Source organism: Homo sapiens, chromosome 1, assembly GCF_000001405.40.
Source record: "Homo sapiens chromosome 1, GRCh38.p14 Primary Assembly".
In the NCBI taxonomy this organism is placed as follows: Eukaryota; Metazoa; Chordata; class Mammalia; order Primates; family Hominidae; genus Homo; species Homo sapiens.
Genome location: NC_000001.11, coordinates 144,024,654 through 144,050,821, shown reverse-complemented (window position 1 = coordinate 144,050,821; position 26,168 = coordinate 144,024,654). Strand labels below are relative to the sequence as shown.

Here is a 26,168-nt window from a genome sequence, read left to right as displayed (position 1 = left end):
ATTCTGTTAGAGAGGTTCCATGGACTAGGGGATACAAGGTTCAGCTGAGGATACGGGTATACTGAACTTCAACAGGAGGATTAGCTGAAGTCTATGTTAAATTTTGAGATGGTCTAGGCCTCTTCACAACTCAGCTCCCAGACATGAGTGGGAGATCAAAAGTGTGATCTCTCGGCAATCTGACCATCCAAGATAAGAGACCTAGAAATACTAAAGTTGGGGCTTCCACAAGGACACAGCCCAGTTAGAACACCCTACTGTGAAGGCCACAGCTGACATAGAATCTTTTAGTGCCTCACTTTAAAATGTGAATAGGCAGCTAAGAATGACCAGGCATTTAAAGGAAATGTCTAATATGAAAGACCAAGACCAAAACTAGCAATTTAGAAGAAATATTATACAACAAGAAGAAAAGTTTGAAAACAATATATCCATAATAGCCCTGGAGAGATAAATGAGAAATAAAACGATACTGCATCATGAAACAAAAGTTGGATGCAACAAAAAAGGGAACATGTAGAGAACAAGAAAAGAGTTCTTGGCAATAAAGATTCAATTCAAGTATCGGAGCCTGACTTCATCCCTGTCCTCTGTGCAGACATGTAAATGAGTTCTTGTCACTTCATTTTTCACTTGATGCTTTACTTTTCTGTCTCTCCCTATTAAAACTAAATGCCTTGAGGTCAGAAACATCTCTTATTTGTTCTTGTCTCCCTAGTGCCTAGTGCCAGAGTCAAATAGGCAAGCAGAGTTGAGGGACTATTAAGTGCCATTGTTTCAAGGGAACAGGTGCTAAATACCAGTCTGAAGTAGCTCTGCCAGCACACAGCCGATGCTCCAAGCCAACGGGATGTAAATTTAGGGGGAGTACAGAAGCATAAGGCCTCTGGAATAACAACAGCCCCAAATTGTCCCAAAGCCTCTTTTTTCTCAATTCTAGAGCTTCCTTGACTCTTCATACTCAGCCAATCCACACTGGCTTCAGTGCCTCCATGTACACTCCTTCCTGTGGGGGTTTGCTGGGTTTTTCCAGACACGACCTCTGAGTACAACTGAGGCAAAGAATCCCAGAGTTCTTTGGGAAGCAGTGTGTTCTGACTTCAAAGGCATTCCCGGTGCATCAGTCAGAAAATGAAAACCACTTATGCCATGGCTTACATACAAGCCAGCTCATTATGGGGGGAAAACACGTGGAGAAGAATGCTCGCTAGGATTGCTCTCTGAATAGCAGCTGTGGGAAGCAGGCCCCAGCACAGAATGCCAAGTCAGGGAAATCAAAGGCCCTTCAGGCAGAAAAGAGGAAGGTGCAGAGGGGCAGCTGGCCACTCATGGCGGCATTCTGGGCCCGGTGCCCAAAGGCATCTTTATTTGGGAACACCTGGGTCCTGCTCCTTGGATCATCAAGGTTCAAAGGTACTAAAATTACCAACCCTTGGATAACTAGTCCCCTAAAAAAAGGTATTCATGGGCATTAGGAGCAGATGTGAAGGACATGAAAAAACTGGGTGGGTTTCTTATATCCTTGGTTTCCTTTTTCCAGTGACCCCAAATAACTTCTATTGCCTACAACGTCATTGAAATGAGAGGCCCTTCCCTGCCTTCCTGACAAGCAAATAATGGGAAAGCTCCTTCTAAGAAACTCTCCCTTGTTCTCTTCTTGACTCCTCAAAGGTGTGCATACAGCAAGCAGCTTCCCAAAGCTAGCATGTAACAGTCCCAGCTTCCCACCTGATAAAACCACTCTACCATGCAAGGTGACCAATTAACCCTTTTTAACCTAGAACTTTTCCAGTTTCAGCACTGACAATTTCATGTCCCAGGAAACTCTTCAGTACTAGGCAAAGAGGGACAGTTAGTCACCGTAATCCCATGGTGCCTTATTCAGACCAGTCCTAAACCTATCTTAATCTCCAGAAGAAATAATTCTATTCTCTGAACTGCTATTATTTTTTTTTTTTTTGAGACCGAGTCTTGCTCTGTCCCCCAGGCTGGAGTGCAGTGGCACGATCTTGGCTCACTGCAAGCTCTGCCTCCTGGGTTCATGCCATTCTCCTGCCTCAGCCTCCTGAGTAGCTGGGACTATAGGCGCCCACCACCATGCCCGGCTAGTTTTTAATATATTTTTAGTAGAGATGGGTTTTCACCGTGTCAGCCAGGATGGTCTCGATCTCCTGACCTCATGATCCGCCCACCTCAGCCTCCCAAAGTGCTGGGATTACGGGCATGAGCCACTGTGACCGGCTATTCTCTGAACTTTCTCTTTTTTTCCTTTTTCTTTTTTTTTTTTTTTTGAGACAGAGTCTCGCTCTGTTGCCCAGGCTGGAGTGCAGTGGCACGATCTCGGCTCACTGCAAGCTCTGCCTCCCAGGTTCACGCCATTCTCCTGCCTCAGCCTCCCCAGTAGCTGGGACTACAGGCACCCGCCACCATGCCCAGCTAATTTTTTTTGTATTTTTAGTAGAGACAGGGTTTCACCGTGTTAGCCAGGATGGTCTCGATCTCCTGACCTCGTGATCTGCCTGCCTCAGCCTCCCAAAGTGCTGGGATTACAGGCATGAGCCTGGCTCACTGAACTTTCTAATGGCCTACAGACTCTGGAAACCTATTTGATCCTTAGCTATAGCCTAATATTTCAGGAAGTATAACTCACCCAACTACTCCACCCCCTAGGATATAGAAATACCAGTGCATGGAGTGTATGCAGACACCAAGGTCATAGAGGTTTGGGGTATCCCTCAAGCTCATACAGCTAGTAGTCAAGACAGGGTAGAATCTAGGCTGCTTAATTCAGGAGACTCTAGTCACTAGACCAGCATTTCTCAATCTTGTGGGTCAGAAGATTCTCAATGTCTCTATATTGACATTGTGGGTCAGATAATTCTTTGTTGTGGGAGCTGCCCTGTGCACTGTAGGATTTTAGCAGAACCCCTGGCCTCTAGATCATTAGATGTCAGCAGCACCTTCTACTCCTCCAGTCGTGACAATCAAAAATGTCTTCAGGCATTGCCAAATGTCCTCTCGGGGTAAAACTCCCTCTGCTTAAAACTCCATTTGGACCAGAATGTTTTGACTTCTCTGAAACTTCCTAGTGCCTCTACTCTTTTTTCCCTCTTTCCATTGCCTACTAGAGGAAAACATCACATTTTAATTTTGGCCTTTAACAGATTATGAGGGTGTATTCCAGCTCACCTTATGGCAGGGGATACCACACTCAGGCAATTCTCAGTTTGAACATCAATGGGAAGATGTTATGCTCTATGTTGACCATGGCCTCACAATGGCCAGTAAAGTAGTTGGCCAATATTGGGCTGTCTTAAGTCTGCAGTCAGAGGTAGCAGCTCGGCCCTCTGCAGACCAGAGAAATAAGTTCCAAGGTTTTCTTCCTCACTCAAACACAGCTTACGCCCTTTCACTTATTTTTTTTTTTTAAAGCACAGCATATGAAGAGACATAGGACCCTGGGTAAAAGCTAACAGATCCTTAGACAGTAGTCTTCTTCTGCTGCCTTGAGTCCCACTGAAGAAGTGGCAAGGTTTGTTGGTTATCCAAACTACTCCTCCCCAGAAACAGCTGCAAATAGTAGAGGGTCAAGATGCTTACAGGAAAATAAAAGAATTTATACAATGACTACATGTGTCATTTTCTATCTTAGGGAATTCTCTGCTAGGAGAAAGGAGTAATAGCTCTTCTTGGCGCTTAGAAATTGATCTAAAAGAGCAGAAGTAAAGCATTAAAAAGACAAGGTTCAGGAAACCCATCCAGTCTGAAAATGGCTCACATCGATGTGTTTCTATTTTAAAAACCTCTTAACTTCATTTGAGAGAAATGAAAACTTGGGAGTTGAACGAAAGGTACCATCTATCTATGCTTGGCTTCAGAGCAGAAGTGTCACAGAGTAGAAATTCAAAACAAACTGAACATCGCTGGAGATAAGTCAGATGACTACTCTACCCTATTTACTTGCTTAACAGTTGCCATGACAAAATGGCCACACCTAGGCTTCTGGATCAGCAACATCTGATCCCAAATGCCTGTCATGCATGTCACCACTGCCTGTTCTGTGAATTAAAAAAAAAAAACAAAGGAAGAAAAGAAAAGAAAAAATGCAGCAAATAAGCAAGTAAACATCAGAAATCAGTATCACCTTCAAACAGGATGGAGAAACCCTGGAGAATGACATAGTAGGCTGGCACATCCAAGCTGGAGAAGGGGCCCCTGAAAGGCATTAGCTGTATAACTTAAGTATTCCCTGTATAACAACAGGAATTTCCTTGGTGTGTATGTGTGTGAGTGTGTGTTTGTTTTCATTATAATTAGAAAAACATGGGTGGGGAACAACCACCACCACCACCTCTCTGCGCATGAATTAACACGCACCAGCCACAGGCATCATGTGCCTGAAGCGCCAGTCATCTCAGAACAGATTGTGTTCTCTTCTCCAAGCCCGCAGCCTGCCTCGTCACTGAGGTTTGGTTTTATAAAACTCCAGGAAGCCAGTGCAAAGCTCTCTCTGCTCAAACTCGTCCCTCTTACTGGGGGCATTTAGGACTCTGTGCTGCCCTCTAGAGCATTTGTTCTAGTCTCAAAGCCATACATCAATCCAAGATCTGATGAAAAACCTAGAACAATAAAGCCTTTCCGACAGGCACATATTAATAGTGCAATGCAGGCTACGTTCCTTGCCATTAGTTCAGGGTCCCTGGTTTGCTGCTAACGGGGTCCATTGTGCCAATGACCTAGACTTTGGCTGGTCTCTAGTAATTATGCCCCAAATAAAGCCAGGGTGAGCTTGCATAGCTGAGGAGAAAACTTATTTTGAGGAAGTATTTTTTGACTCATTCCATTTTGAAAAGACGAGTGTGAAAAAAGAGATGGGTGGGGTCACCCCCAGTGGGGACCATGCACTTGTCCTCAACCTCAGTTCAGTTCTGTTGCTGATGTACTATGGCTGCAAGCTGCCAAATGCTGCTTCCCTCTGCTTGTTAAAGAGCCAAGCAACCCATCTGATTTACCGAGTAGAGCTCGTTCAGGACCTTCATCAAATCATCTTGGAGCTGCTGGCCGACTTCTTTACTCTGCAAGGAAAGAGGAATGAAGGTTAATTGGGAAACAGAAGAGAGAGGAGGGAGCAATGAAGGCAAAAGCCACACTGGCTCTACAAATAACCCAGACTCAATTAAGGCCCATTATTTAACCCAGCAAATCAGATAACCACTCCAATCAGACCCAATTATGGTCAGATTACTCAAAGAGTTTTAATAAAATGAAATGTGCCCTCTCTATAGCCTAGCAAAGGCAATTGCGTAGAGGGAAAAAGGGTGGTAGCCTTTGGTTTTTCTATTGGTCCCCAAAGAGCAGGCCTGAAAGCCACATCCTACCTAGCAACTGTTGTTAGGTGGAACATGGTTTCTCAGATACTTGCAGTCAAGCATTCCAGAAGATTTCAAAGGAAAGTAAGATGTGTAATGGGATGAAATAGGAAAAAGTATATAAACATTCAGGGACTTCAAAGTCCCTAACTAAATAGAAAACTCCAAGCAGGATGGAACTATATTTCTTACTTGCTTTATTTCTACCCAAAACTCACAAGGCAGCGGTATCTCAATATTGACTGCCTGCGAGATTAGCTGTTACTAGATGCTGAAAATATATGTTAAGGGGTCTCCAACTAGTTAATCTTGAGCAGTGATGGCTCCTGGGTTCTTTGCTGCTGCCACCCAGGGCTGACATCTAACTACATAGAGCAGTAGAAATAAAGAATGAGGGCTGGGCACGGTGGCTCACACCTGTAATCCCAGCACTTTGAGAGGCCGAGGTGGGTGGATCAGCTGAGGTCAGGAATTCGAGACCAGCATGGCCAACATAGTGAAACCCCATCTCTACTAAAAATACAAAAATTAGCCGGGCCTGATGGCACACGCCTGTAGTCCCAGCTACTCAGGAGGCTGAGGCAGGAGAATTGCTTGAACCCAGAAGGTGGAGGTTGCAGTGAGCCGAGATTGCGCCATTGCACTCCAGCCTGGTGACAGAGTGAGACTCTGTCTCAAAAAAAAAAAAAAAATTTAAATTTAAAAAATTAAAAAGAAGGCAATGAGAAGACCCCTGGAAGGGAAGAATATCCCCTCCAGTCTCCTCACCCCAAAGGAATTGCTCTCTAGGGGGTTAAACCCATAGACATTAGAAAGCCTGTGGTCACCACACTACAGATGACTGCTCTAAGGCAAATAGAGATTTAAAGCAAAGCAGGGTATTCCTGATACTTTTTGACCTTTTTGCTCTGCCAGTTTCCATTTTCTGACCCTAAAACCCAGACAAAAGATTCTGATGTCTTTAGCCATCTACCCCCCACCTTCCCCTGACTGAACAATTTGATTCGACAATTATTTCCACACCTACCTAGTCTGATTTCCAACACGACTAAATTTGGAACAATGGAAGCAAGTGGGTGAAAAGGAACAAAGAAAATAAAATTCAGGAAATGACAATCTTCAGAGTAACAATATATAATTTGAAAAGTAACTCAGACCAGGAACAGACTTTATTTGAATATAAAATTACATACAAATCATATTTAATTCAAACCACTTCAATCCAACAAATCTTCACTGAGCACCTACTACTATGCCCTGCGGAGAAAGACAAAAAATACTTGGTCAGAGCCCCATCCAGTCTAAAACACAGCAGGCTCCCATTCCTGCACAAAGAGACTTTGGGGAGAACCTGTAAAGGCTCTTGATTAGGGATATATCATAAAGAACCTGTGCCCACCTAAAGATCACTCTTAACAGCATTTTTGGACCCATTTATCACCTCCACAACTCCAGAATGGACAAAGAGGAAAGTTACAGGGACTGAGGTGGAGAGAAAAAATAATACGATTGCCAGCAAAGCTCAGGAATATACGCTTTTTGATGAGACACCCGGAAGGGAGAGTAAAAGAAAGAATCTTTACATCATATTTTTCTTTGAGAAATTACAATCCACAAGAGAGGTTGTTCACCAAGATTTTTTTTTAACCACCCTAGTTTTTTGTTTGTTTGTTTTAGACAGGGTCTTGCTGCGTCACCCAGGCTGGAGTGCAGCGGCATGATCATAGCTCACTGCAAGCTTGAACTCCTGGGGTAAGGCAATCATCCCACTCCAGCCTCTGGGATTAGCAGGGACTACAGGAACACACCATCACACCCGGTGAATTTTTTATTTTTTATTTTTAGTAGAGATAAGGTCTCACTACATTGTCCAGGTTGGTCTTCAACTCCTAGGCTCAAGTGATCCTCCTGCCTTGGCCTCCCAAAGTGCTGGGATTACAGGCATGAGCCACCATGCCCAGCCCATAGTAGTTTGTTTTTGTTTTTGTTTTTGAGACTGAGTCTTGCTTTGTCACCCAGGCTGGAGTGCAGTGATACAATCTCGGCTCACTGCAACCTACGCCTCCCGGGTTCAAGCGATTCTCCTGTCTCAGCCTCCTGAGTAGCTGGGATTACAGGCACATGCCACCACACCCAGATAATTTTTGTATTTTTAGTAGAGACGGGGTTTCACCATGTTAGTTAGGCTGGTCTTGAACTCCTGACCTTGTGATATCATAGTTTTTAATAAGCTCATTTCTCTTTTCCCCTATCTTGTTCTGAAAGACATAGAATTTTCAGAGGGAGAATTAGGAATAAAAGTATCTCTTGATCTGGGATCTAGGAAAAAATACTAGGACATCAGAATCAACTGAATGAAGGGATAGAAAAAAAAAATCCAAGAAATTGGGAACAAGGGAAGTCTGCAAAGCTCCTGGTCCCGCAACATCTACACTCCCAAGCCCAATATCCCGTTGTAGAAGCACTTATTCTGAAATCATAAAAACAACTTCAACCCATAAATTCTCATCTCTCAACACAGTGACCACCCACAGACGGATTTTTACGAAAATGAAGAGTTCCCCTAGAAGCCTTAACTCTGAGGGTCATCAAAATTAGAACAATCTTTTTTGAGCTTACACACTGCTGTCCTCAAGGGTTGCTCTGGGGTCAGTCTGAAACTGAAGTGATATCAGACCTCTCTGACACTTATTTCTAGTGTCAGTATCTGCCAGCAACTCGCCAAGAGCAAAAGTCCAGGGAGCCCCTTCAGGGAGAAAGTTTCTCACTCTGGATCCCAATTCTACTCTGAAAAATTCAACTGTACAACTAATATTTTACAACAAAGAGGTTCCATTTTAAAAACCCAAGGACACAGAGGGACAGCCAAGGTGACAAGGCTCAAATTCTGATAGAAAATATAAATCCCCAGATATCCTCTTCCCCTGTCCAAGGGCAAAAGCTGACCAGGCCTAGGGAGGAAAGACTCCTGTACAGTCTGGTACACACCACTCCTTCTGCTCATTCCTCCCAGCAACCACTCTTGTTGGGAGATGAATGCAGTCAAATGTTCTCCAGTGATGCAGAGCATTCTCCCATTCTTCAGGGCTTCAAAACAAAGCCAAAGAGCTGCCTGCTGTATTTCTGTACTCTTATAACACAGTGAGATCCAAGGACTTCCAACCATCTGTGTGCCAACCCCCAGCTACTCTAAGACGTAAAAAGTGGAACAAAGGACTTTGTGGCTGCAAAGATGGAGAGAAAATGATGGCTTAAAAGAAAGGCATATCGTTTTCCTTGATAATTATTTTCTTCACTTTGCTTTTCTGTATTTTCCAAACTGTCTATGATAAGCATGTTGCTTTTCTAATTAGAAAAAGCAGGAAATGTTATTTTAAATGTTTTTTTTAAAATCAGCAGAGCACTATCCTGAACGCTTTAACGCAATGGTCTGGGGGTACCTACAACACGCCTTGGGGAGGGCAGGGGATGGGAGGCGGAAAGGGAAAGAATGAATGAAAATCCAGTTTTTAAAAAGAGGAAAAGAAAAACTAGGGGGTTGGGGAAAGATGGGGATTTCCTATGCATTAATGTGCACACTTAGACTAAAGAAAAAAATTGCTGGGCACAGTGGCTCACGCCTGTAATCCCAGCTCTTTGGGAGGCTGAGGTGAGTGGAGGAGCTGAGCTCAGGAGTTCAAGACCAGCCTGGCAAACATGGTGAAACCCCACCTCTACCAAAAATGCAAAAATTAGCTGGGCATGGTGGCGCATGCCTGCAGTCCCAGCTACTCAGGAAGCTGAGGCAGGAGAATCGCTTGAACCCAGGAGGTTGAGACTGCAGAGAGCCGAGATCGTGCCACTGCACTCCAGCCTGGGTGACGGAGCGAGACTCCATCAAAAAAGAGAAAAACGAAAAATAAAAAAATTAATTTATAGCAGTAGGCACCTGGTTAGTATACTGCACAAGAAAGTACTCAAAATAGAGAATCATTATTTCTGGGTATGTTCTGAGAAGGAAGATTTCTACTTGGATATATTTTACCCCTGGGCATGTCCAGGTTATAAGGCCCAGGTAGATAATACAGTTCTAAAGACTCAGGGTTTCTCTACTGTCTCAGTAACTCGCCTCCTGTTTCAGGAGGGCCAGAAGCAGCTGCTGGTCACTGCCAAGCAGACAGGACAGCAGCTCTGTTCCCCTTTGCAGTCTCAGTGCTCTGAAGCTCACCCTCCATTCTACTCTCCTTCTGGCCTCCTGGAAGACTAGGGTCTTATAGGTTCTTCCCCATGAGTCTTACGAGAGAGCCTTCTAATGATAATTCACTGTTACCTGGGCCTGGGCTCATAGGAAGCACACGCCACAGCGAGGGGAGAAACAGATGCCCATTTCCAACAGAAACATCTGTTCCTTCCAGCTCAGGAAAATCTGTTGGCAGAGAATCATGTGGTAAGATTTTTTTGTTAGGAAAAAAGCTAAAATGCACACCACAGAAAAATGGACCAGTGCTATTAGGATACAACCAGTCCTCTATGCTTTTTTTAATTTTTTTTTTTTTTTTTTTTTTTTGAGATGGAGTCTCGGTCTGTTGCCCAAGCTGGAGTGCAGTGGTGTGATCTCGGCTTGCTGCAACCCCTGCCTCCTGGGCTCAAGTGATTCTCGTGCCGCACCCTCCCAAGTAGCTGGGACTACAGGCATGTTCCACCATGCTAGGCTTTGTATTTTTAGTAGAGATGGAGTTTTGCCATGTTGGCCAGGCTGGTCTTGAACTCCTGGCCTCAGGTGATCTGCCCACCTTGGCCTCCCAAAGTGCTGGGATTACAGGCATGGGCCACCAAACCCAGCCATTCTCCATGCATTTTAAAGTAAGGGAACCAAAATCCTGCTTCCTGAAATCTTGCCCATTGTTACGAAAATCTGAGTGCCACACTTTTGCCCACACAGGTGCAACTCCCACTTAGATACAGCTCCCTGACCAGTCACTGCTCCAGGGCAAAGTCCAGTGTCACTGAATGAAAACCATGAGTTCTAGAAAGGAAGTTCATTTGAGTTTTTCACTAAGTAAAGGTCCATAACCATCCGTGTCGGTCAAGACCCTCCCTGCCAGGCCAACATAACCTGGAAACTGGGAAACCCTGAAGAGAAGTTACATTCTTTTAGACTCAAACAACACCACCACCCCAATCCACACCCTGGCCTTTTCAGAAATCTACAGGGGCACTTTTTGTTTGTCAGTGTCTAGGGAAGTGCTACTGGCATTTAGTGCAAAGGGAAAGGAATGTAATGTCCTAAATGTGTGGAACAGTCCCAAAATGCATCTAAAATGCCAATGGCATCTCTGCTAATAATCACTGTATAGAAATAGTTTGGTTTTATTGGTTTTGTCTGTTTTCCTAAATAGGTATAACAGTCATTCACCTGGGGGAAACATTCTCAATACAAAACAGTAAACAATGACAAGTAAGTTTCCCTCTCATCCCTACCCTTCCCCAAAGGTCTATACCTCTGAGGAAACCATTTTCTTATATATCCTTCAAGAAATACTAACTGTGTAAACAAGCATCTGTGTATATGCCCCTTCCCTTTTTAAAACGTGGCACGTGTGCCACATTTTTTTCATTTAACAGTGTGTCTTGGAGATTTTTCATATTAGTACATATCAATCTGCCCCTTCTTTCTACCAGCTGCATAGCATTCCACTGCATAGCTATGCTTTTGTTTATTCAACCGGTCTCTTTTTTTGGTGGTACCTGCCATTGTTTCCAATTTTTTGCTGCCATAAACAATGTTGTAATGAATGTAGATGTGGGTGTATCTACAGAATAAAGTGGTAGAAGGAAACCAGTAAGTCAAAGGGTATATACATTTTAAATTATTTCTAATACTGCCCATTCAACAATATAGGAGACTTCTTGCTACTCTGTACTCAGAATGCAATGTATGAGCAAATGTTTTTTATCTAATATGTGAAAAATGACTACATACTGTACTTGCAATTTAATTTGTATTCCTCTATTATGAATAAGACCTGGCATCATTCATTTCCTATGTTCATAGGTTTCCATGTTGCAATAAGTCTTTGCGGGTGTTAGTAAGTTATTTAGTTAGTCTGTTTGAAACAACAGTTCATGTTCTTTACTCATTTTTTCTTTGGATTACTGATCTTTTTTGACTTTTTGTTGACTGTGTGAACACTTTATAAAGGAAATTAGCCCCTTCTCATGTGTTGCAAATATTTTTCCCAGTCCATCTTTTGGTTTTATGATATTATTTTTAACCATGTAGAACTTTTAAAATTTGTCAATCTTTTCTTACATAGCTCCTGAATTTTCAGTCAGGCTTACATTATATTCCATGGTTTAAAAATATATACCTCTATATTTTCTTTTAATATTTTTATGGTTTCATTTTGTACATGTATATTTTAATCAATATAAAATTTACTTCCATATAAGGAGGAAGACAGGGATCCAATTTAATTTTTTCCCAAATGGCTACCCAGTTGTCTCAAAACCAGTTATTGAAAAATCCATTCCTCTCTCCCATCCCACCAATTTGAAATACCATGGTTTACTCTATGCCAAATGCCTTTGTGTATTCGGCTGTACTTCTGCATTCTCTACCCTGTTTTTCTAGACTCTATTTTTAATTTGGAGATGGCAAAAACAAATCTAGGGAGCAACCTTGAAGTGTCATAAAGAAAAGAAAATGGCCTTTAGAGCCTAGAGGCAGTGTTCATAGAAATTGGAATTAAAAATCATTCTCTCTGATGACTCTAAGTCCAGCTATTCCATGGGACTTTACCCCAAGCCTCATCTTCTGCTTGTAAATAGTTTATATTTTTAAATGTAAACCTTTTATTAAAATGTAACGTAGATACAGAAAGGAACACAACTCTTAAGTATCCAGCTTAAAGAATTTTCACAAAGTTAACAAAATCATGCAACCAGCACCCAGATAAAAAATAGAGCATCGCTAGTGCTCTGAAAGCCCCTTTGGCTTCCCTTCCAGTCATTACCCTTCCATAAGGGTGACCATGATACGGATTACTATCACCATAGATTGGTCCTGCCTCTTTTAAAATTTCACATAAATGGAATCATATAGGATGCACTCTTGTTTCATGCCTCTTTCACTCCTTACTATGAGATTCATCCATGTTGTTTTGTAAAATTCATATTCATACTCTCATTATATACGTAGTATTCCACTGTATGAATACACCACACTTTGTTTATTCATTCTACTTCTGAAGAGCATTTTGGTAGTTATTTGGGTCTTATAATTAACACTGCTAAGAGCATCTTTGTATGCCTTTAAGTCATCCTACTAGTTTTATCCTTTCTGAATCCTTTTGTTTTAGGTATGTCTCTTCTACAGAGCAATGAATTGGTTTTGCTTGAAAGTCAATCTGAAAATATTTTCCTTTTATTAGGTGATTTTCAGCTCATTTATATATTTATATTACTGATATATTTAGTCTTAAGCCTGTCATATTATTTTATATTATTTTTACTGTTTCTATTATGTTAAATTCACTCTGTGATTTGTTTTCTTTGCCTGTTTTTCTATTTAGGGGAGTCCGCATTTTTGTTCTAGTGGTTATCTTTATACTAATACTTTTTATAATGTCCTTAGCCCCCTTTTGTTCTTACTCTCCTACTATCTGGTTTGTCAGCTTTCAATAATGAATTCTTTGACTCCCAATTATTTATTAACTTTGTGACAGTCTGATTCTATTCTCCCCTTTTTATCTGCCTTCCTCCATTCTGCTCCCATTTTTATTGGCTTTATTTCTATTTTTCAGAACATATATCATTTACACACATTATTCTTCCACCCTTTCCTTACCTTTGCTTTAGTCTTATATCTATCTTAAAATATATTCCATGTTTGAATACTATACAGCCATAAAAAAGGATGAGTTCATGTCCTTTGTAGGGACATGGATGAAACCATCATTCTGAGCAAACTATCGCAAGGAAAAAAAAAACCAAACACGGCATGTTCTCATTCATAGGTGGGAACTGAACAATGAGAACACTTGGACACAGGATGGGGAACATCACACACAGGGGCCTGTCATGGGGTGGGGGGAGGTGGGAGGGATAGTATTAGGAGATATACTTATTGTAAATGAAGAGTTAATGGGTGCAGCACACCAACATGGCACATGTATACATATGTAACAAACCTGCACATTGTGCATATGTACTCTAGAACTTAAAGTATAATTTAAAATATATATATATATATATATATATATATATATATATATATAGTCCATGTTCATCATAAGCCCTTTTGTTAAAATTTTCCCAAATCATATTTGCATGGAAGAACTTGTCACCTTCATTTTAAAGGATATTTTCACACTGTAGAGAATTTTATTTGTATGTTATTTTCCTTATTTTGAAGATATAAATCCATTTTTTTCTGGATTCCTTTTTTTCTATTGAGAATTCATCCATCACTCTTTTCTATTCACTCTGCATAAAACCCATCCACTAAATTCTTACTTTCATTTATTATATTTTTAGTTTTATATTTGTCACTTTATCCAGTTTTGAATTTCCAGTTCTCTGCCAAAATAATATATCTTGTTTTTATCTTACCCTTAAACATATTTTGAAAAGTTATTTTTAAATCCATACCTGATGACTCCATTATCTGGATACTCTGTGGATCTGTTTCTATTATTTATTACGTCTCTTAGTTTCAAATTATTTTGTTATGTTACCTCATATGCCTGGCTGTTTTTAACTGCATACTGGACATTTTATATGAAAAAATATAGAAATTAGAGAAATAATTTAAGACTTCTCCAAGAGGATCGTCCTTTGCTTCTGAGATGGAGCTAAGAAAACTGGCCATCCAATCAAGATCCTTAACCCAGTCAGGGAATGAGAGGGTATGAAGCTGGGCCTCAGTCTCTATGAGGGCTAGTCAATTTTCCGTTCATACTCGATCCTAAAGTTCAGCACCTCAGAATAGCAACCCAAAGCCAAAGATATTTGCCACGGCCCACTCTCCTTGGCAGGTCCTAAATTTTGAGCCTCTAGCACCATGAATGTTTGAAAGTGGCCGGGCTCGGTGGCTCACGCCTGTAATCCCAGCACTTTGGGAGGCAGAGGCAGGCGGATCACGAGGTCAGGAGATCAAGACCATCCTGGCTAACACGGTGAAACTCCGTCTCTACTAAAAATACAAAAAATTAGCCCGGCGTGGTGGTGGGCGCCTGTAGTCCCAGCTACTTGGGAGGCTGAGGCAGGAGAATGGCGTGAACCCGGGAGGCGGAGCTTGCAGTGAGACAAGATTGCGCCACTGCACTCCAGCCTGGGCGACAGAGCAAGACTCCGTCTCAAAAAAAAAAAAAAAAAAAAAAGTAAGTTTTGCTGGAAAGATTTCTAGCCTCTCAGCTGCCTCTTTAAGAATCAGAAGATATGCCTCTAGGGGAAAGTTTGTCCCAATGTCACTCTCGAATTTCCTTGTTCTCCAAGATCTTGGCTCCATAATATCCTACTGCTTTGTTAGCTCTCCACTGACTTCAAACAGATTACCAAAATTTTGTCCCAATTTTGGATTATTCCTTATGGAATTATATTGTCCATGATATCCAGAAGAAGACCTCCAATGAAGAAACCTGGAGGAGGGACAAGCATAGCTGGTAAGGCAGCTTGATGATTGTCATTAAGGATGCAGGGCTCCATCTATTTTTCTTCAGTGAGTTAACACAGCACTTCACATCACAAGATGGCAGCTGAATGTCCAGGCATCTCATCATATTTTAAGCAATAAAAAATACAGAAGGTCGGGCGTGGTGGCTCATGCCTGTAATCCCAGCAGTTTGGGAGGCAGAGGCGGGAGGATCACCTGAGGTCAGGAGTCCAAGACCAGCCTGACCAACATGGAGAAACTCCATCTCTACTAAAAATACAACATTAGCCGGGCGTGGTGGCACATGCCTGTAATCCTAGCTACTCGAGAGGCTGAGGCAAGAGAATCGCTTGAAACCAGGAGGCGGAGGGTGCAGTGAGCCGAGATCGCACCATTGCACTCCAGCCTGGGCAACAAGAGCAAGACTCCATCTCAAAGAAAAAAAAAAAGAAACATAGAGAATGAAAACAATGGGCCATGCCAGCCAGGTCTGTTTCCTTTCCCATATTTTTTAATAAAAAGAATGCCTTCTTTGAGTTATGTTTGCCCTATTCATAATAATTTGCCTTCTCTTTTATAACTGGAGACTCTGAAGAGTCACATAACCTCTTTAGGTCTTAGTTTCAGTCAAATGAGTGACCTGCACTAGATGATCTCTAAGCACCTTCCAGCTCAAACATTCTTAGATTCTATTAACTTGCTTATCTTCTCATTATTTTTAGGAGAAAAGTAGAAAGAAATAGGAGAGTTTACCTATTTAAGAGGCAAGAACTGAAGTCTAAGGATGTAGAATGTCCAGAGCTTTATCCCCTGAATGGCAGAGGTCTCAATTTAAGTTAAATCAATATACCAAAACCTAGGTTTAAAAATTAAGCTGGAGAGAAAAAAACACGTTCACTTTATGAAAAATAATTCTAATCTTCTGGCAGGTTTTGTTATAATGCTTTTCTAATGCCTTGAAATTATGATTAGATTTACAGTAATTCAATTTGCACACAACTTTCAAAAATATCCACATGCTCTTTTGTTCATCTCTAATTACTATTATTTTTCTGAAACAGACCAATACACTATTCTTGGTGATTCCTATCACCAAGAATATCAAGCATTCCTTCTCTCTTGGTATTTCTGTGACCGTCTTTCTAGGACTTTAGGAGCAATTTTCTAAGTGCCTCTCAAGCCCAAATCTTCAGCTATTAATGAACATTCAAAGAGAACATCTTTAAATCCCCAACTTGAATTTTTATATTTTTACTTCTTTAGAGGTGGAATGTTGAGAGATTCCATATATTTGGTTAAAACAAATATGAAAAGATTCCTTATTTTTCTCCACCCTTCCTTACATTCCTCATGACCAACCATCCTCCCAAAAGGAAGCGGGGTACAATTTGTCTACATTATGCCAAATATTTCAGCTTTTTAGTTTCACCATGGAAAAAGCATTAAACTCAGCTGAATTATTCATGAGATCCTAGGTAACATGATCATTGTTTTTGGCCTTTGGCTTCAATACTTTCAGCCTTGCAACTCATTTTAGAGTTTCTGAATGGGGTTAACAAGGGACTTTGCTATATACACATCATTAAACTGTTGGCATGTGTCCTGGCACGGAAATTTACACTGTATCAATAAACCCATATATTTGCAAGGATGTGTGTGTCTTCAATGCTGTTCTTACTTTGATCAATTTTTCCTACTTCCCTGGAGTTTCACCCAGATCAGATTTTTAGAGTATGTGCCAACATGAGATGACTAAAATATTCGAGACAGAAAGAAAAATCTGAGCCCCAGTTTAGAGATTCTCAATCTTCCTCCAGGGATGATCATAAGACTGGCTTGATGGATGAGGGGCAAATGTCACCATGCACATCACTCTGAATTCCCTTCATTGCAGTAGCAAAAGCATGTTTCCCAGTTTGGACATAGAATTAAACAGCCCATACTCTTCCAGTGCCCAAAGTTTTTGAATGAATTGATTCTTCCTTATAACTGTCATTTAGACATGCCTCCTCTCCTGACCTTCTCCTATTCTCATTGCTTTGGTTTGCCCCAAAGAAAAGGAAGAAAAGAAAAGCAGATAAAGCTCTCCTTTCCCCATTACAACTCCCAAGTAACACTTTTCTCATTTCTTCCTATCAAGGCAGAATAGGTGCTGCCCACCCTCGTACCAAGAGATTTCTTACGGTCACACAAAGTAAATCATCATTGCCAACTGGCACTGAACCTAATGTTCCTCAATGATCAGACCTGAGCTCTATCCCTATGTTTCTTCCAGAAAAGTTATAACCATTCTCAAAGTTTTCACTGGAGAGCATTTAAGATTTAAGGAAATATGCCATCATTCTATTTCCTTCCAAAATTATATTATGCAAGATATAAGCATTATGCATCAATTTGCATTCCACTTCTCCCCAGTGTGAGAGTCTGGTTAATACAATTAAACTGGATCAGTACCTACTAAGCAACTAGATCTCTGGAAAGTCTGAATGCTGAAGATGGATGCCCTCGGGGAGGGGCTTAACACAGCACATAAACAAAGCTCAGATTTCATCTTCCACTAAACCCAGCAGGACACTAATGAGTTTCTAAAGATGCAGAGCAAACTAATATCATTCTCGGTTGTCATTTATTTTGGAGTACACTAGTTATTTAATTTTGTCACATGCTACCAAGTAATACAACACATTGCTTTCTTGCCTTCAGTGTTATCCCCTTTCCAAGGCATAAGAAACTACTCTAGAAGTATCCAGAGTCTTAAGACATATAGGGAAATATTAAAAGTCATTAATAAGAGTCCTGGGGGATTCCCATTTCCTTCTCATAGCCTCTTTGTTCTTTGGAGATTTTTCTATCACATGATCTTGTTTATTTTCTTTTATAGCACTTATCTCAATATTTAATTATCTTAGTTTATTTATTATGTCTCCCTCATAGATGTAATCTCCATTAGAGAAGAGACTTCTGTGTTGTTCACTGTTATATCCCCAACCTAACAGTGCCCAGCACAAAGTTAAATACTCAATACATATGTATTAAATGACTATTAAGGCAGTAAGAATGGGCTGGGTTCTGCTGCATGAACAACTAACCCCCAAAATTTCAGTGGCTTAACCTCACAAAAGCTCATTTATTTTTTATGCTGTGTGTCCAACAAGGGTCAGGGAGGGGCAATCTTTCCATCATTGTAGGTCAAGAGCTCAGATTGACAGAGGTTCCACCTGCTCACAAACTTTCACCATCACCAAGGCAAGAAAAGAGAGCACTGAACTGTCCCATACTGGCAACTGCTTCTGCCCAGAATTGCCATGTATGGCCACATTTTGCTGGCCAATGCAAGTCAAATGGTACCCCTAACTTGAAAGGGAAGGAAGGAAATAGATGTGAGTAAGCACTGGAAGCCTGTAAAAAATTAAATAGCGACTCCAGAATCTTGCTGTTTTAAGGGGTTCATTTGGTCCAGCCCTGTTTCCAGGCAAGGCTGCAATCAGAAGGTAACAGATAACAGCAGATGTACTAAACAAGCAGACAAACTAACAATGGACATTAAGTACATCATACCAAGAGGCTTTTCAAAATCAGTAATCAAGTGGCACTATCAGGAGAACCTTTATAGGAAAAAAAAAAAGTCTTAATTGCCCAATCAAAAGGAAATACTTGTATTCCTTATGTCATTTACCTTAGGAACAAGGTAAATGATTCAGGTACGCTCTGTATTCATGCTCTTTTACTAAAACCTTCTTGGGGACTAAACCAACTGTAGGAAAATATCCAACAATTTGACGTCATGTTTTCAGAAGACAAAAAAAAAAAAAAAAAAAAAAACCCACGATAAAACCCTGTTCACTGAAATCCCATTCATACATTTATTTTTTTACCAAAGTAATACATGCGAACAAAAGCAATCAACTGGTGGCAGCATTTAGGCCCACTAAGACACAACCACCCATTACCGAAGAAGGCCTGCACATCATTCTGACTCATGTTTGGAACTTTCTCTAGAGCACATCTCTTGGTATTTCCTGCAGATATACAGCAAGAAAGATTTCATTCCTGCCAGACAAGCTTTTTTTTTTTTTAATCTCCACCAGTCAGTCTCTTACAGTGAGATAACCTCCAGTCACAACTCTCCCTCCAAATGAATTCCCAAGTTGCCATGGCAACTAACACCTTCCTCCAATACTGTCAATATGCTTCCCAACCCTAAAGGCAGCCCTCTTGATTTACTGCCAGAAGTACCAATCTCCTCATGTAAAAGAGAGTGCCTTCCTTTGCTCCAAAACTATCATGAGATTCTTTAGAAGACCCTCTGTTAATAATATTAATAGTATCAGCTACCACCTATTGAGGGCCAACTTTATTTCTATTATCTCATTTAATCATTTCAAAAAAAAAAAAAAACAAAAACACTGCATGGTAGATATCACTCTCTTTACTTTACAGATTTAAATAATTATAAATCGGAGGTTATATAACTTGACCAAGAGGCAGAACCAGGATTTGAACACAGAATCTTCTGGCCCAGATTATCTCTGAGGCTTCCTCCTTTGACACAAGATCTTTTCCAGCTCAGAGGAGTAACTTCATCTGTCTTGTTCTCTCAGCCTAACCTTGCTTCTTTTTCTAAAAGTGCTTTCTACACTTCAAGACAATTTAGTTTGCTTTAATAACAACACTGCTCTAAATCCAATGGCACTTAAAGGTGTGTTAATGCTGATTAAACATTAAGAGAGAAAAGACTTCATTCTCCTGCTCTTCATCTCCAAGGGCTTTGGTGGGGAAGAATGAGATAATGGGTGCTAAGGGTTTTGTACTGAGAATGAAGGTATACAAGATCAATACCCAGCAGATATTGAGGTGTCCACAGTGTGACCAAGTGCCAAGGAATGCCCATAAGGGTAGAACTGCAGCCAAGTCTCCTGGATTTGCTTCCTTGGACCCCTTCCTCGGGCCCCACGCCTACCCGTATGACCACATCCTCACTATTCTCCCCTAAACACAAATCGAGGGACATACAAAGCAAGCACCGTACTTACTTCTTAGCCAATCCGTCCCCTCCCCCATCCCCAACACACAGGGAGACTTTATGTTAGCCTTGTAAATAAGAAACACCATTCCACAGTTATTTTTCCAGTCTGCCTTTTTTTTAACTGCTCACCTGGCAGAAACTGTTATTCTCCTGGCCAGCAGCTATTTGTAAAACTGGTCTGCCTCCTTATTTTTATACCAAAGATACTAATTCTTTAGTAGAAACGGGAGTATTCCAAATAAGACAATTAGCAAGTCACCTAGAATTTCCACCCACTCCACAGAGGCACACAAACAAGAGAATTAACCCAATTTGTTGTCTATAATAAACAGGACATTCTACCCACCACAGAGCCCCAGAGGTTTGTACGAGATTACTAACTCCTAGTAGTAACGGCTACAATGGCCCAGTTCCCTATTTTATTACTGTGTGCTGAAATTTTAAAGGTGCTCCTCTCCCACCCCCATCTTCCCTTGCATACTTCTGCACATCAATCCATTAAGAATCTGAAGTGTAATTTATCTTATTCACTATTATCCTGTTAAATTGCTCTACAGCTGCCATGGCAGTAATTGCAGTGATCAGTGATTCAGACTTCTTAAGCAAAGGGTCTTAAGTAGGTTTCATTATTAAAATTTCCAAAGGTTTTATTATTGAAATAAACCTGAGATAGAACAGTATGCCTCCATGGGGCAGTCATACTAATGATTCTTAAGTTATGAAGGGATGTCACATTCATCATCAATGTTGCACTCATGAATACGAGTAATTGGGAATTTATCAACCAACAAAACCAACTGGCATTCTAAGAATGAAGAATAATAATCTCATTTTAAGTAGCATATGCAGTGCTGTGCGACCCTTTAAAAAGCTGCCTTTGTTCACTGAAGTATTGCTTGTAATAGCAAATACTGGAAACAACTCAAGTGCACATTTGTAAGGAACTGATTCAATAAAGTAGGAGGCAGCCATCCACACAATGGAATACTATGCAGCTCTGATATACGAATGAGAAAGCTTTCTCTGTACCAACAAGGAAAGATCCCCAAGACATACTGTTAAGGACAAAATAGTACACAACAGGTTAGATAATGATTTACCTTTCATGTAAAAGAACGTGGAGGGGTAAGAACATATGTTCATATCTCCTTTTATTTACATAAAGAAACACTGCACAGATATATAAGGAACTATTAAGAGTGACACCCACAATAAGGAGCAGGGGTTCTACAGGGTGGACCAGACAGGAGTGGAAATAATACTCGTCAACATATGCCTTTCAAAAAAATTTTTTTCATATTTTAAATTTACCTTTACTACCTATTTATTTGGTTCAAGGCTCCATTTCGTCCACTTTGGGACTAGGTAATCAGGCTTTAAACTACTTACCTCTGCCTGTCAGAAGTCACTAACCTCATGACAGGAATAATTTAGGTTAGAGGAGTAGCAAAACTATTACTCAACTGTTTCTTTAGAAAAGGAGAAACTCATAAAACATGGGACCCTAAAATTTGAATATTATATGTAAGACGGGGTTAAAATGTGTTCAAAAAGTGTCTTCTAAAAATGTACAAACAACAGAGGTGTGACAGTATGCTGAAAAAATATGAGGGGGGTGGAAGAGCGGGATAGAGAGTGGTCCTCCTTCCCTACTCCCTTTACAATGTTGATTTCATCCTTGGATTTTCATAATGAACTTCTGTAAAGGGGAGATTTGCATCCAGTTTTAAGACCATTTTCAGCACAAGTGCTTTTTTATTAAGTATTTCTGTGGTTCCCCTTCCCCAGACAAAAAGGAAAGGGGAAGCTATTGTTCAGGACTTCTAATGGGTTTATCTAGCTTTGTGGGTTAAAAGAACCCACAATATTTAATAAATTTAATAATATTTAATAATATTTAATAAATTTATTAATATTTAACAATGTTTAATAAAACTTAGCCACTTACCTAACCCTTGGGTCAGAGAGTTCTTGCTCTAACAAAACACCAAGAACAACTAGACACTTCTACCTACCCATAGCCTCAACTAGATAAATGCAAACATGTTGGCTCACTCCTGTAATCCCAGTACTTTGGAAAGCCAAAGTGAGAGGAACACTTGAGCCCAGGAGTTTGAGATCAGCCTGGGGAACATAGGGAGACCCTGTCTCTACAAAAAATAAAAAATTAGCTGGGCTTGGTGGCACGCACCTGTGGTCCCAGTTACTTGGGAGGCTGAGGTGGGAGGATCACTCGAGCCCAGAAGGTCGAGGCTGCAGTGAGCTATGATCATGCCATCACACTCCAGCCTGGGTGACAGGATGAGACCCTGTCTCTTTTAAAAAAAAAAAAAAGATAAATGCAAATATGAATCACCTACAGAATTAAAAGGCCACAAATGTTCCAACCTTAGCAGAGAGTCTGGGAAGAAACCTCCACCACTGCCCCAGTCAACCCAACTAAGAGAAAGAGGTTGGCAGCCAGAGGAACAGATAAGGCAAGGCTTCATCTGAGCCTATCAGCTTCTGCAGAAAAAATATGCCATGGTCATGGGATGATCTGACTGACTGACTGATGCAAACTGTCCACACAGCTAGTTTACCTTTGCCTCCTCTCTGGATCCAAAATGTAATGGAAATGAATGCCTTATGAAATCCAACCCTGACCTTCTCATCACACACCCTTCTTAGGAGAGCCCACACTAGCTAACGACTCCAGAATTCTGGTTACCATAAGTCTACGCATCATGCCACCGAGCTCTGTCTTTCCAACTACCTTTTAGACATCTCTACCTGGATGTCCCGGGAGTCTCATGTCCAAAGATTAATTCCTTCTTCCTGGCAGTGTATGCTCTTTGTATCTCCACTTCTCCTGTCTCAGTTAATAGCCTGTTGATTGATCAATTTCATTCTAGGTTCATGGAACACCAACCATGCACCAAGATCCCTGAACCAGAAGCCTGAAGGGCATCTACAGTCCTCCTTCTGTCCTACTCCTATTTCTATTCACCTTGTCAACAATAAGCTGCACTGATTTTTTACCTCCTAAATATTTCTCAAAACCTCACTTCCCCTTCATATTCACTGGCACTCCCTTATTCAGCATCTCATCATTCATTCAACAATATTTAATGAGTATAAAGCATACCTAGGTGTTTTTAAACAGAACAAAAACGGTGTGATCTTTGCTTTCTGGTGGCTCAACATCTAGTTATTTCTTATCTGAACTATTCAGATATACTCTTGTCTCCTACCATTAATTATCTCAACAGTAGCCAGAGTGTCTCCTCAAAACTTAAATTAGATCATTTAATTCAGGGATAGTAAACTCATTCTATAAAGGCCAGATAGTAAATATTTTAGGCTTCTGGGCCATATGTTCTCTGTTGAAACTACTCAACTCTGCTCTTGTAACATTAAAAATAGCCATGGACGATATACAAACCCATGGGTATGACTGTTCCAATATGGCTTATTCATAAAAATAGGCAGCAGGACAGATTTGACCCATGGGCTGTAGTTTGCTGACCCCCTGATTTAATTAATCACAGTGCTTCTTACTCCACTGGAATTAATCCAGATTCCTTCCCATGGCTTAGAATGTGCTCCACCCTCAACTGACTATTACTTGCTCCTCTGGGCTCCACCATGCTCCAGCTACTCTGACCATCTTTACGGTGCTTACGCACCGTGCCAAGCCTGTTCACATCTTAGGTCCCTGCACTTGCCGTTCTACCCATCAGGACCACTCTTGCCTAGGTCTTCTCATAGCTGCCTCAGCTCAAATATCACCTCCTCAGAGAGGCCTTCACTGCCCATTCCCATTAGTACCCATCCCAATGCCCAAACACTCTAACTCCCATAGCTCTATTTATTTATTTTTTCAAATTACTTATCACCATCTGAAAAAATATCATTTGTTGCATGTATACATATAGTATATATATATATATATATATATATATATATATATATATATATATATATATATAGTCTGCTTTCCTACCACCACACTACTCTACCACTATTAGAATGTAAGCTCCATGAGGGCAGAGACTGTCTTATTCACTCACCCCCTAGGTTCCCAGCACCTGGATCGGTGCCTGGCACTTAGCAGGGGCTCAGTAAATATCTATTATCTAAACTGTTATTGCCTCTAGTCTCCCTCCCTCCAACCCACTGGTATCTTCACTGCCACCAGTGATCTTTCAAAAATACAAATGAGACCAAATATAGTGGCTCACACCTGTAATCGCAGCACCTTGGGAGGCTGAGGCACAAGGATCGCTTGAACCCAGGTAGGTGAGGCTGCAGCAAGCCATGATCACGCTACTGCACTCCATCCTGGGAAACAAGAGTGAGACCCCATCTCAAAAAAAAAAAAAAAAAAAAAATAGCAGTGTGTAGTGGTGCACAATTGTAGTCCCTGCTACTTAACAGGCTGAGGCAAGAGGATCACTTCAGCCCAGGAGTCTGAGGTTACAGTGAGCTATGATCACACTACTGCACTCAAGCCTGGGCGACAGAGCAAGACTCTGTCTCATAAAAGAAAAAAAAAAAGTAAAATGCAAATGAATCATGTCACTCCCCTGCTTAAAATATTTCCATGGTTCCCCACTGGCTTTAAGATACAAATGCAAATTATGTGGCAAGACCACTATAGCTCTTATCACACCTTCCCACACTCTCGCAGTAGTAGACTGTGAGCTCTAAGTGGTAAGGACCAACTCCTGTTTATCTTTTTATCTCAGGTACTCAGCATAGTACCAGGCACATTGTTGGTGTTCCATGAATGTAGAATGAAATTAATCAATCAACAGGAGTACAACAACTAGCACAATGCACGATTCTAATGTGGTAACTCAATAAGTACCCAATTTAAAGGCAAAGAAGCAAGATTTTACACAACACTCTTCCTTTCTTTTCTCTGGAAGCAACTTGGGTGGGGGCTATGCTTATAACTCTGAATCTAACTTTGGATTTTGTCACCCAGATTTTACCTGGCAGGCAGCCACTCACCACTTTCTAAAAGAATGGCAGGAGAAGGCAGGGAGCTAGGTCATGCAAATCTATCATGCTGTTTCCTGTGATCAGCTCTGGTAAAAAGGTTAGGGAAGGAGACATAACATGAAGGCTAAAATGCAACTTAGGGATTCTCCATGGATTCCAAGTGTCTACATTCTCCCTGTCATCTATTAGCAAAGAAAACCCAATGCTGGTTCTTTTGCTGTACAAAATAACCTAAGAGGTTCAGGGACTTTCTTTAGAACTGCCTCACCAATAGAATGGGAATTGTTACTTCTAGAAGAATTTCCATTAGCCCTTTAAAATCCTTCAACATTCATTAAGGCCAAAGAGATTTCACCTAATTTAGTCTGATGGGTATGTGAACAGTCTTTCTAGGGAATACAGACTCCCAAATTGTTCAGCTGGGAAGTAAGAAGGGAATTTATTACTCAAAATCAAAGGGAAATGAAAAGAGGGCAACCCGGAATTCATTACTCCCCTTCTTGGGTGGGGTAATGGGTTCCAGAGTCATTCTGTTACCTTTACTATGACCTCCTTACTTAGCATCTAAAAGCTTCTGGTGTTGGATGCAGCCAGGTAGGTTCTCTTCTAATGTAATAAAATCTGCTTCAGCAAAGCTTATACAGAGTCATCTCCAGACTCCAGAAATAATAGACTATAAATTACTGGATCTCCCATTTGATACAATGAAGTGTAAGTTAGCACAGTCCTGAATGACCACTCTACACGCTACTCTGAGTGGCTCAAAGTGAACTTTGACACAAGGACTGGAGCGAACACATAGCACAGCTAGATCCGGGATTAATTCGCTTGAGCCCAGCTCCTCACTACTCACCTATGAGTCCAGTTCCAGAACCCAAGTAGAGGATGGGGGAGCAAAGCTCCTAGCTTTTTCCCTACTGTCTGCATCTCTTTCACATATCTTATCTTCTTGAAGAAGTTAAACAGGCTCAACTAAAATAACTAAATGATGAAGCCCTATACAGACAATCACCAGAGATTCACAAAACTGCATTCAACACAGTTACACAGACAACTTTGAGGATGACTTGATGTACCAGCGATTTACCACATTTGGGACCATTCAAAATTCCTGTCAAGGATCTGCCTATATCAACATGGGAATCAAGAA

General features: G+C 41.0%; 1 pseudogene across 1 annotated transcript in view; it reads right to left on the bottom strand.

Moving 5' to 3' along the window:
- The window catches only part of SRGAP2D (SLIT-ROBO Rho GTPase activating protein 2D (pseudogene)), a 97,066-nt pseudogene that overhangs the window by 18,883 nt on the left and 52,015 nt on the right, over positions 1–26,168 (bottom strand). Inside the window, exon 3 of the transcript NR_120535.1 lies at positions 5,013–5,075. The product of NR_120535.1 is annotated as an SLIT-ROBO Rho GTPase activating protein 2D (pseudogene) (transcript). The remainder of the gene's footprint in view (positions 1–5,012; positions 5,076–26,168) is intronic.